The 13,011-nt window shown below is 37.0% G+C and overlaps 1 protein-coding gene across 36 annotated transcripts in view; it reads right to left on the bottom strand.

Annotated features, from left to right (window-relative positions):
* PTPRM (protein tyrosine phosphatase receptor type M) overlaps positions 1–13,011 on the bottom strand; it is an 839,541-nt gene that overhangs the window by 275,842 nt on the left and 550,688 nt on the right. For 16 of the 36 annotated variants that reach the window (XM_011525708.3, XM_047437715.1, XM_017025911.2 and 13 more), the window contains one exon: positions 8,699–8,773. The exons of the other annotated variants lie outside the window; for them this stretch is intronic. In XM_011525708.3, the coding sequence (XP_011524010.1) occupies positions 8,699–8,773 (75 nt within the window). The remainder of the gene's footprint in view (positions 1–8,698; positions 8,774–13,011) is intronic. 36 annotated transcript variants of the gene reach the window in all.

The raw sequence follows: 13,011 nt of genomic DNA, 5'->3' as shown, positions 1-13,011 counted from the left end.
AAGCACCAGCAACTGCTATTTCCACTGCCTTCCCTTGGAGCCAGGTTTGTGCTCTACTCTACGTGCATTTTTGCACTCGATGTCTCACCACTAACTATGAGGTAAAGAAATAGTATTCTCCCTGTTTTACAGATATGGAAGCTGAGATGTTGAGAGATCAAGAGATTTCCCCAAGAAGCCTGGACTTGAACCCACTACTTGCTGTGTACATGCTTTCTAAACTGTGTGCATTGGGTTCCAGAGTTCCTGTGTGAATTTCCCTTTTAAAATCACAGTTAGGGGACTGTTAAGTCCAGATTCCTATCTAACATGTTAGAAAACTGCCAATGAAGTGGGCCATGTGGGTTTGAAAATGATCTGGAGTCTACCCCTGAGGTACACTTTCCTATCATCTGTACCATTAAGGGAAGGAGAGAGAACAAATTCCAGCAGGAAGCTCAGCTTTATCTTAGGTGGCCCACTGCAAGCTTGACATTTTTATTAAGACTGTCGATCTTTCTTTTAAGACTTTTGATCTTTCTAATAAAGCATGCAAATGTTGCATTTCATTCCACAATACATCAATTTTTGACAAAAACGTTTTTGCATTATTTATCATCAAGGAAAGTGATGCTCCCAGAAGATGCACCATGCTTGGCCTTGCGGTTTCATGGAGCCCAGGCTTTCCAGTCAACAAGCATTTGAGATGGGACAGCAGCTGGACAACGGCTCTCACTCAACAGTTCCACCATGGAGAGCGACCTCTCCTCCCCTTTTCCTAAGGACAACCTCCCCAGACAGAGAGAGGTTATTTCAAGAATATAGGGTAGCTAAGCTGGAAAAGCCATGACTTGAGAAATAATCAGAAATGAACGCCAAATCCAAGATCCTTTCACATTAAAAACAACAGCAGCAATCCTAAAAGTAGAAAAGTAGTATGTGCATGTTGCAGAATGGGGAGGTAGGTGATATTTTTAACATGATAGAATCTTAGAAGACAACTTTTAAAAGACTTTGGGCCTCACTCTCAGCCCATTGGAGACATGGAAGAACACGTTTCACACTGATATTGCTGAAAGGGCAAATGAGGTGCATCTCCTCTAAGGACTGTGCTTTTTCTCTTTCCATTCACCAGCCTGACTTCTCCCTTGATTTTTTGACAAGGTTGGTGAAAGTATTTAAAACAAGAATCCTTTCTTCAAAAAGGGGTATCATTTATTCTAAATTAATTCTTGATATTTTCTTGATCTGTTGCCTCCTCTACATCCTGCTGTCTTATGATGATGAAGGAAATTCTGACTTCCTTTCCATTCTGAATGGATCTAATATATTGGAACACAACCATAAATATTTTCAAAGAACTCTCACAAATACTAGGTATTTTATAATAATAGTAATCTAAAAGTGTTTATGTACAAGAGAGCCTAAATCCAAAGTCAACCACAACGTTAATCACACAGCAGTACAACACAGCCATTTGCCTACAGATGCTAAGGGACATCACTGGGATCTTTAGACTGAAAACTGTTAGACTGAATATTGATTCCTTATACTTTAAATTGTAGTAATAATTTCCTAAAATAAATAAATGGATGAAAATCAAAATATCACAATTGGTATCTATCAACAGTACAGCCAGGGAACAGCAACTATGTGTCTAGTTCCATGCTAGTCACCAGAGTAAAGATAAAGAACTAGTGACACAGATATTGTTATTCAGCTTTGATAAATACTTAAAAAACATTCAGCCTTTCTCATTTTTATTAACATCAAGAATGAACTGGTTTAATTTTACTTAAAAATTGAAATAATATATTTCCTTATCAAAAAGGCAAGAACAATTTCACTATCAATATAAAATCTTTCATGCAAAAATCTTCAAGTGTTTTTTAAACTGAAAGTACTTTCTTTTTCATAGTATTTCGTATCTTTTACCAAACTCTTGGCTAATTTTGAGCTCAAAACTTTCTTTTCAGTATTCTTTTTGGATATGCGTAATACACCAAATTAACGTCAAAATTAAAAGTTAGGTTTCCTAAAATATGAAATTTCAATATATGCCATTCAAGCCAGAAAGCTCTATGCCTTAAGCAAACAAAAGACAGTATAAAATATTGTTTTGGTTTCCTTCATCACACTGCTGATAGAAAAGAAAACCACAAAATGGTATCAAAAAATTAAATTGTTTTTATACATTGAAAATCTTTTACATAGAAATTCTTAAGTTTACATAATACAAATGGAAAATAATACTATTTCAGTGCAATATAGAGATTTTAAAATATATTGTTTCTGAAATCAAATACTTGACATTTGACTCAGTATTCCATTCCAAAAAATGACAAGAAAAAAGCAACAGCATCCCTCATGGCATGCCTGTATCCTCTCACCATTTTCTTGTAACTATACTGTTTTATAGATGAAACTGCCACAGCAAAATGACAAATATAACACATAAAAGAACAAAAAGGGCAATAAATCAACAGTGACACTATAGCCCATTAAAATGCAGTCAGCTGGTATTGCAGAAAGAATAAAATTTTACCCTCATTTTACATTCTTTCTAGCCAGAAAGGAAATTTCAGAATCCTCAAGCAGCCCTTGAAAGAGATGCTGAAAATCTCAAAAATCTCAAATTCTCCTCACACCAACCCTCTATATTAACTTCCGTAGCTGAAACACATAGCACTGATATCCCCCTCTGCCATTTAATATGAAATGCCCACAACAGTGTGTGTGAATTGTTAATCATCTTATATTTACAGAATACTACATTTGACAAAAAGTAAGATACCTAGTTAGTTGGAAAATGGTAGTTTTAAGTTAGCCACTACTTTCAATCAGTTGGTTATCTGCTTAAATGAAGAGTTTAGCCATCTTTTATTTACAAAGAAATCTAAAGGAGGCATTTTCTTCCCTTAATTTTTATCCAAAATTCTCTCAAAAGGTTAAATTGAAGCTTCTGACACTGAAAATGACTCTGGTATCATAGAGATAGTACGTTTTCGAGTGCAACTGAGTATATGTTAACTTAGTTCATTACCCACTTACCACTATTACAAATAGTTCAAGGTGTTGGTAAGCTTATGGAAGTGGAGCATTTATTGAACTGTTTATGTTGGTCTTAACAAAGGCACTAAATATAAGTTCCTGCAGAGCAAAGAGCATACCCTACACTTCCATGAATGTTCCTCCTCTCTTATGTAGAGCTCATGGTAGGGCCAGCTCTCCTAGGGGGTGAAAGCGCATCGATGGAAACAATGAATGAGTGAATGAATGAATGAATGAATGATAGCTTCTCTAGTAGTAGAGGATAGTGCTCACAGGACAGCTCCCTAAAGCTACATATTTCAGGGACAGAAAGCTGCAACTTTGGTTTCTGTCAGAGCTAAACTGTATGCACCGTCTGAAGGAAGGCTAACTGGAGGGGGTCTGTGTAGCTCTTGGTCCAGTTGCCCCTCCTGAAACCACATTCACCCTGACTGCAGTCACAGGTGGAAGTGCCACTGTGGCAAGGATGTTATTTTTTTTAAAAAGCAGTGTGAAAATTAGTTCACCCTTCAAGGGAATTTTATCTTTTACAAATAACTTCATCCCATCAAAAAAAAAAAAAAAAACAATACAGCTGGACTCTGAGTGCCGTTCATGTGCCAAGCACTGAGTGGCAGGCTGAGGAAAGTTTAAAGATATATAAAATATGGCCCCTGGAAGGGATTCTAAGCATTCCTTTGATATGGCTGACCCTGTCCCTTAAGTTCCCTAGCATGTGCTCCTCCATGCTGGCTGCAGCTGATCCATTCCCCATGACCAGTACTTACTGTATTAATTCCTGGCTTTTACCTCTTCTATTCACATCTACTTACTCTGTTCTTTTTTTTCCAGTGTGTTGGACAGTCTTCCATTTCTTATAGTTTTACTTTTGGTCTTTTGGCCTTTTTCATCTCTTCTCCAATGTTTCTAGTGTGGCTTGGAGTACACAGTGCAAAACTGATCCTTTCTGTCTCTCCTAAAACACTCCAATTGTTTCCCACTCCTCCTGGGATCAAGACCAAAGTCCTTAATGTAAGGTACACGGTCACAGTTGGCCTTGCTCTGCCTGTATCACCTTACTGCTCACCCCACACATCCTTTTCGCTCTCTGCTCTCCAGCCATGATGACCTTTCTGCAATTCTTCATATCTGACCATGCTTCATCACACCACCGGACCTTTGTACCTGCTGTTACTGCTACTAACTAAGCTAATGTTCAGTAAACAATCCCACCATCTTCAAGCCATATACTGTCCTCCTTGCTACTCAGTGTGGCTAAGATCCAATCAGTTATATCTTCATCTTACAAATAGAGAACCTTGGGTCCCCAGAAGGACAGACATTATCTACCTACATCTTAGCTCTGCCACGGTTTACTGAAGATAAAGAGGACTTAGGATGTGAAATGGGATCTGACTGGTGGGAAGTAGAGAAATGGACAGACAGTCAGCAGAGTAGGAGGAAAACAGATAATGTTGGTGGGAGTGGCTGGGTCATTCTCTTAGAAAATCAATTAACATTCAACCTTTTTATGGCTCTTGCCAAAAGAAATGGGTGATCGAAATTATGCTTTTGTAAGTGGGTTGAAAAACCATTGGTTTGTTTTATTTGCAATGGAAAAGCTTATTAAATTTATATATATATACATATTAAAAAGAGATATTTTGTAATCTTGCATAAAGTAACATAAAATCAGTCAAAAGAAGACAAAATAAACCAATTTCAAAATATTCCTCCCCTCAATCAAAATTTACTCACAATAATAAATGAAAGCTATACAATACCTAGGAATAAATTTAGTAAGACAGGTCATCAACTGTTATTCATTCAGTCATTCAGCAAACAATTTGAAACACTTCCTGGGTGCCTGTGGGCTACACTGGGAACAAGACAGACAGACAATGCTGTTTCATGCTTTTGTGAGTTGAAACACCTAGGATTTGTTTTATTTGCAATGGAAAGGTCTACTGATTTAAAATATATATATATATATATATATATATATATATATATATATATATATATATATGTATACACACACATATAGCATTCTCCACAGCATGTCAGGGTTGGCTGGGTTATTAAATCATAAACAAAGATATCTTAATTTAAAAAGCCTAGATATATGTGAAAAATAAAAAGTTTTTAAAGAGAAATTCCTACCATGTATAGCTTTCTACTTTCTTCCCAAATCATTTCTGTATTATGAACAGTGAATCGCGAGATAAAAGGAAGAAAGAGACTAGGGGCATTTCCAATTTCTAGAACTTACTCTGTGTGTACTCTTTAGAGTAGGATTTCTGAGGTAGACAGAACCTTCATTCCAATCAGACATTCCACTCCCCTTTACTATCTCCTAAATCTAGTTAGTAACTTAGCAAAGCATTTTTTTAAAAATTGTGGATGACAACTCATTAACGGGAAATGAAATCAATTTAGAAGGCAGCAACCAGAATTTTTTTTAAAAAAATGAAAAAGAATAATGTAGAACAGAATACAAAAATCAGGGTATATCTTATGTTTGCAGTGAGTAGTGTTGGAAGTACGGTTCTAAAAGTTTTCATTACAGTTAAATGTACATGTATGTATATGTGTATATACAGTACTGGGTAGTTATGTATTTCTTATCATTGATTGGGGTCAAGAAGTTTAAGCAACACTCCCTAGTGCAATGACAGGACTGCTCATGAAATGTCCTAGCATTCCACAAATTCCTTCTCTGGAACCCTCCTGACAACTGGGCCGTTCAATGAACTCAGTCAAGAAATATTTATGAGCACTTTTTTTTTTTTTTTTGAGACAGAGTCTCACTCTGTCACCCAGGCTGGAGTGCAGTAGCTTGATCTCAGCTCACTGTAACCTCTGCCTCCCGGGTTCAAGCAATTCTCCTGCCTCAGCCTCCTGAGTGGCTATCATGCCTGGCACAGTCCTAGGTGCTGGGGTCAGATCACCAAGGTTCTTGTTTTCATTGGTGGTAGACAAGTAGGGGAGGGCCCACCTACACCAAGGGAAACCTAACCAGCAAGCACCACGTACCAGTACAACAGGGACAGCAAGGCAAAGGACTCATCATCTCACAAAAGCTTCCCAGTGCAAGTATAGCATCAAATAGGATTTTTAGGGGCAAGATGTCAGCACAGTTAGAACAAAATGAACAAAAAATGGCTGAAGACTTCAGAATGTATACCTCCTATATCTTCTATTGGCTTCTGGAAGGGACAGGATTGATCTATTAAACACAACGGTTGAATGGGTCACAGATAGAAAATGTTCAGAGCTGTCACACCGACCACTTCCTAGGCTGTTTACCACAGTGAGAAACGGTTTGAAATACAGGTCCTTTGGTTCCCATCAGTTATAAAACTGCTGTCTTTTCTTAGCTTTGCTAAATGATAAGTATGATACCAATTTTTCACTCATCTGAGTATGCACTTATGTAGGTTTTGGGGTTACTAATGCAAATGTACTTGATGCCAAGGTGTCTAGGCAACCATACAAAGTAAAACTCCTGAAAAGAGTTGGTCGATTCATACCTGGCACACATAAGGTGCTCAATAAATGTCAAATAAATGACTGAATGAATTAAGTCTCAGGCTTGCAGTATGACTCATGAATAAATCCCTTAAAAAAGACAGTGTCACTGCTATCGAAGTTGATGGGTGATGCAAATGGAAAATGCAAAAGAAATATTATTTGAGTGTGAATTTATCTGGGTAAGACTAACCATCATTAAAACCAGCAGTAAATACTGAAGAAAGAACAAGAGTAGTTTTTTACTGGTTTTTGAGGCTTATTCTGATACACCATCATTTTAATCCCTAATAAACCAAAGTAAATGAGGTAGATCACCTGTAGCCCTTAGGAGGAATAGCAGCCATGCACTGCAGTTGTGTGTGTGTCCTTCAGACTAGCTCCAAAATAATGACACTCACTGTGTCTAAATGCCTTACGACGGGGGCTGCTTTATGAAGTATCTTCTGAATCAGGCGAGTTTTAGAGTGAAAACTATATTCAGAAGCCTCGCTTACTTCATTCCTAGTAAACAGCATGCTTCATCTGAAGTTAGTGGATTATAGGTAAAGCTTGGTAAAAGGACTACTGAATTATATTTCGTAAGTACTTGTTTTATGAAGGTGGGAACAACCCATTTTTAACAATGTACTGATGAGTCTGGGGCCAGCTCAGACACAATGGGTGGTCAGAGTTGCTGAAGGATCCCAATAACCTTCAAGATGGACTCCTAACCCTACACAGAGTGCCACAGGCCAGTCCTGAAAGGTCAAGGTTTTAGAGGGGAGGACTTATTAAGAAAGGCACTGTCCCTCAAATACTTTTACTTGTGGGAAGAACACTTCAGAAGTTCAGGAGCAGGAAGAGTCTGTAACAAGTAGAACTTCAATCAGGAAAAGAAATACTCTTAAAAGAAACTTGCAGGCAAGGGCAACAGAACTGTCAATAAATTGATAGCTTTAAAACTGAAAATATGTACAGAATTCCAGTGGAGAAGGAAATAGAATTATTTTACATTTCTTTACCTTATAACATCAGTCTACAATTTTCCTGAGGCTTAGTTTTCTTTACTGTCCAAAATAATAAGTTCACAGAACAACTTAAACATTTGTAATTTACTACCATGAGTTAAGCTTTACCATTTTCTTAAATGTTAGGGGACATTGCCTAGTTTCACACACAAAAAACAATTGCTGGAGTGAAAATCATATAGAAAGTAGTTTCTGCTTCTTACTTGGCTTTCATCAGGCCTAGACTGTAAGCAGGTGCTTCTGAAACCAGAATTTTGAGTCCTGCCCAGGTAATCATGTTAGAAATCTTGACAATGACTTGCCTTTGCTGAAGCAAAAAAGTTTGTCTTTTGGAGTTCACTAACTACTCACCTTCAATCTGAAGTAATTTACTGGACTCTTTTCCTATATGAATGTATAGAGATGTCTATAAGGCTTTAGAGGGAAGAGTGAACAAGCTCACTTCTCTTGGTATAAGGAAGCACAGTTCAACTCCATGACTCTAAGCCATTCAATTTTTCTAAACTTTCCTAAATTATTCAAAGCATTTGACTTGCAGATATGCCACTGCATGATTTATATAAACACTATGCTTTGAAACAAGGATCTATAAGGAATGCAATCAGCTCTGCAACTATTGTACATACACACAAAGCTGTTAGAACACTGCCACCCTAAACACCTTTGGGGGGCTTCGTTTAATACTACTGGCAGCCAAGATTGTGTATAGCTAAATGTATGTGCAAACTAGACCAGGCAAGGTAAAAAATAAATCTCTTGCACCCTCAAATCTGAATACCATTTTAGACTAATTTGGAAAACTAGGAATATATCTTTATGTATTTTGTTGGAAACCCTGTTTGATGTTATTGCTATTTCAAGTCCAGCAAATTTCATTTCTATATAACATTAGTCTAGAAAGAAACATACCAACAGACCAAACACACAATGAAAACATGCAGTGGAGTTGTACTTAATGCATGGATATAAATGTGCACACAGAAGAGGCCAAGCATGTCACTTAATTTAATACGAGCAAAGGTCTGTACCAAGGGTCTGAAACATTGTAAACAGGCCTTAAGCAAAGGAGGAAATGTAGAGGGGAAACAGAGCTGAGAAAAATGAGTGGGAAATGGGCAAGATGACTCGTCTATACTTGAACATCTGACCTGTTAGTTGGCCGTCGCCTGCAGCGGGGGCGATGCGAATGTAAGGTGTTGTAAGCTGAGTCACGATTATCGCAGCTAAGGCAAAGGAGGATTTCCAGGTCAGCATGCATGAGGGAAAAAAAAGCCAGACTGAAGCTAGGCTAGCAAGAAGAATCCCCATCAGTATATCAAATTGTCTCAACTTTGTTCTAACAACAACAAAAAGAAAAGGAAAAAAAGAAAAAAAAAACATAGCAAGGTGCTGAATATTCTGAATTCTTTTCCCTTAAACAAGCTCTAGTCAGGCAGTTGGATTTCTAACTATGACACAGTTGCAAGGTTTGGCTGAGATCTTGGATAGATCAACTGAAGAAGAAAAAAAGGAAAACAAAACCAAAAACATTCATCCTAAATAAAGGTGAAGACTGAGCAGTGTTTCCAATTGAAATTGAGTGTGGTGCTGAAAGATTCATTGTTAATTCTGGTGATCCAAACTTTAGGCTTTTAGAACGTATTAGGTTTTTCAACATTCTATTGTTGAAATCACAATGTTTTCTCTTCTTACTAAATCCCTTTTGTAAAGAAGAATATTACACTCTTTCACTAAAAACGTTTTTATGTAGAAAAATTTCTCTGATATCTAAATTTCATGCAGCTTTCCATTCAGGAACTTTATTTTTTCACTTTAAGAGAATAAAAAATGCATCTCCAAGTATTGGTTGGAAAAGAATAGAAACTACGAATTGCCTTTGCTATAGTTATCATGGTTAACATGTGAACAAAGAAATGATTAAGAGTCTTGAAGCAGACCAGGCTGGCTTCTTAGTTTGCCTGCACAGCTCAGCAGTTGTGTTTAAGTGGTTAACATTAATGACACACAGATATTTAAAAAAAATAGAAAATTAAAACATCAGTTCTAACATGATACAGCTGGAAAATGATGCAAAAAAATATTGGAAAATTAAGGACAGGCTTACATGAAAGATTACTAATTTACATGGAACAGCCTGGGTACTATTAGAAATGTGGCAGCGAGTAAGGAAAATAGATCATCTACCATCTGCAGACAATTAAACCCAAAACTGCTGCTGCATAATATTTTGAAATATCCCTCTGCACCATGCAAGCAGTGCTGCTTACAACTAGACAACTGCAGCAACTGAGTTAAAAATGGTGTAACAGTCTTTCACACATTATTAATGAACATATTCTAGTTTTGTTAAGTGAGATTAACAAACTAACAGTTTGGTCAGAGAATAGGCAGCTCCCAGTGCATTAACGCATTACAGAGATAATTTTCTTAATATGACGTATTATGCAATTTTGAATACTGTTATAATAAGCTGTACACAGTAAAATGTTATTTCTAAGATGGTTACAAAGTTGGTACCAATTCCAAGTTTTATACACATAACATTTTTGTTTGGTCATAGACTACTGTTGCTCCAACCAATACTCCTATGCAGTTCCGCATTATCTGTAGGAGAGTCTGACCTGTTCTCCTTTTGAGAAAAATGAAATTGTTTTATAGAAAAACAGAGCAGGCCAGGTGCCGTGGTTCACACCAGTAATCCCAGCACTTTGGGAGGCTGAGGTGGGTGGATCGCTTGAGCTCAGGAGTTTAAGATCAAATGAATAACATGGTGAAACCCCATCTCTAAAAAAATTACAAAAATTAGTCTAGCGTGGTAGCTTGCGCCTGTAGTCCCAGCTACTTGGGAGGCTGAGGCAGGAGGACTGCTTGAACACAGGAGGCAGAGGTTGCAATAGTGAGCAGAGATCGCGCCACTACACTCCAGCCTGAGCAACAGAGGAAGACACTGTCTCAAGAAAAAAAAAAAAAAAGAAAGAAAGAAAGAAAAAGAAAAAGAGAAACAGAGCACCTAATATCCAAAAAGGTAAACAATATGAACAAAAAGTTACTCGAAAATAGCTATGTCAGTCAGCCAGGTATTCACAAATAAAAAGGAACTCAAACTATAATCAGAAGCTAAGTCTACCATGTAAAAAGTATATTATAAATACCAGGAAGGATTTTTATATGATCTCTATGTTCTGCTTTGTAAAGTGTTTATTTGTAACTATTATTTTTAGTCATGAGGAAAAAATTTGATTATGCTATACTTTATCTTCAAATGGGCCAGCAGGCCTACCACCTGCTTTTGCAAATAAAGTTTTATTGGAACACATGCTTAATTGTTAATGTATTGCCTATGGCTGCTCTTGCCCAGCAAGAGCAGACCTGCGTAGTTGTGACAGAGACCATATGGCCCACAAGGCCTCAAATATTTATTATCTGGCCCTTAACATAAAAAGTTTGCTGACCTCTAACTTAAAATATCAATAAAGATGCATTATAAAAGAGAATTATCACTAAGTTTGGTGATATTCTCTTTTATAATGAAAAAAGATAAAGGATTTATCAGCTCCAGATATTGTCTTCAAAGTATAAAATTGGAATAAAGACAGAAATTCCAATCCTACACTTTGAAGACAATATCTGGTGCTGATAAATGTAAGGTCCCTGTGGATCAGACTTCTAAATGGTCATCTCAGTTACGTGCAGCGGGATCTCCTGGAAGCTTGTTGAGCCAGCATTTACCTAACTGCATTTTGCATGACTCCAGTGTTCCTTAAAAAATGAATTCGGATCAAATAAATTTGGAAAGCATAGGGTTTTTCCGGATTCTTTTCTTTAGGAACTTCTCAGGGGGCCTTAATATACTCATGATGTACATTATAAAGACTATTTCAGACATGAAAAAAGTACATTTTCTCTATAAAATGCTGAACGATGAATGTTAATGTTCCTATTTCAAAATCCAAAGCCTAAATAACAGCAGATTAGCATATATGAGTGGTCTTGCTATATAATTGGTTTTCTCATGTAGAGAATATGAGAAATTAAACGGAATCTTAATTAGCTTTACATCTCAACAGACATTCTTTTCAGTTCTTTTATCAGCGCTCTTTCATTCTGTACCATTATGGCCTACAAAGGATGGTATTTCATTGAACAAAACAGTGAACAGAAAAACAGTCTGTAGAAACTTCTCAAAAAGCTTAGTGATTAAAAAAAGAAACATTCAAATTTCTGAATCTAGAAATTATATCAGGACAATGGAAATCCTTCAAAGTTTCCTCAAGGTCTTCCAATAAGCCATATTCACATTCCATTACAAATTTAACTTAAATAAAATGTTACTTACAAAAACAGTGAAATGAATAACTTTTTCATGAAAAAGTCCCTTAAAATATAACATTGAAAAATGCTTTGTTTTCTTTTTGTTTAAGGCTTACAGTCTGATTTTTCTAATAGTTTTGGAAAATAATTCAGCATGTGTTTACGTGAAGTTTTTGCTTTGACTTCTAGCTAGACCAGGGGTGTCCAATCTTTTGACTTCCCTGGGCCACCCTGGAAGAAGAAGAAGTGTCTTGGGCCACATGTAAAATACACTAACAACAGCTGATGAGCTTAAAAAAAAAAGCCCATGTATAAATCTCATATATATATATATATATATATTTTTTTTTTTTTGAGATGGAATGTCACTCTGTCTTCTGGTCTGGAATGCAATGGTGCAATCTCAGCTCACTGCAACCTCTGCCTCCCGGGGTCAAGTGATTCTCCTGCCTCAGCCTTGAAAGTAGCTGGGATTAAAGGCACCCACCACTGCGCCCGGCTAATTTTTGTATTTTTAGTAGAGACGGGGTTTCGCCATGTTGGCCAGGCTGGTCTTGAACTCCTGACCTCAGGTGGTCCTCTTGTTTCAGCCTCCCAAAGTGCTGGGATTACAGGCGTGAGCCACCATGCCCAGCCAAATCTCATAATGATTTAAGAAAGCTTAAAAATTCGTGCTGGGAAGCATTCAAAGCCATCCGGGGCTGCATGTGGCCCAAGGGCCATGGGTTGTACAAGCTTGAGCTAGACAATAGTCAAATAACAGCAAGGAGAGGATCAAATTAACATATATGACTGCTCCCCATATATCAAAACCCAAAAAAACCCCAAAGCACTTTTATAAATCAAGGAGGCACTCAAATAATTTTTAAATGAACAACAGGAAAGCTCCCAAATGGCTATACTGCCAAGGACAAACATGCGGTGCTAACATATTATGAAAAAATCTTATTTTATGGAAGATTAATATAATGTGCATACTTTAAACTGATTGTTACATCAATTAGAATGAATAGACCTCATTCAATATAAGAAATTAACTTACTAATAACACATTTGGATTTTTTAGTGTACCCTACAAGTTTAGAATTGATCATCAATGAAGCCTTCTAAAACTAGCTGCAAAGAGTTTCCACCCTACTAGTTACCATGA

The sequence above is a fragment of the Homo sapiens genome, chromosome 18, assembly GCF_000001405.40.
Source record: "Homo sapiens chromosome 18, GRCh38.p14 Primary Assembly".
In the NCBI taxonomy this organism is placed as follows: Eukaryota; Metazoa; Chordata; class Mammalia; order Primates; family Hominidae; genus Homo; species Homo sapiens.
The sequence above is the reverse complement of the archived record's forward strand: the minus strand, read 5'-3'. Positions and strand labels throughout refer to the sequence as shown.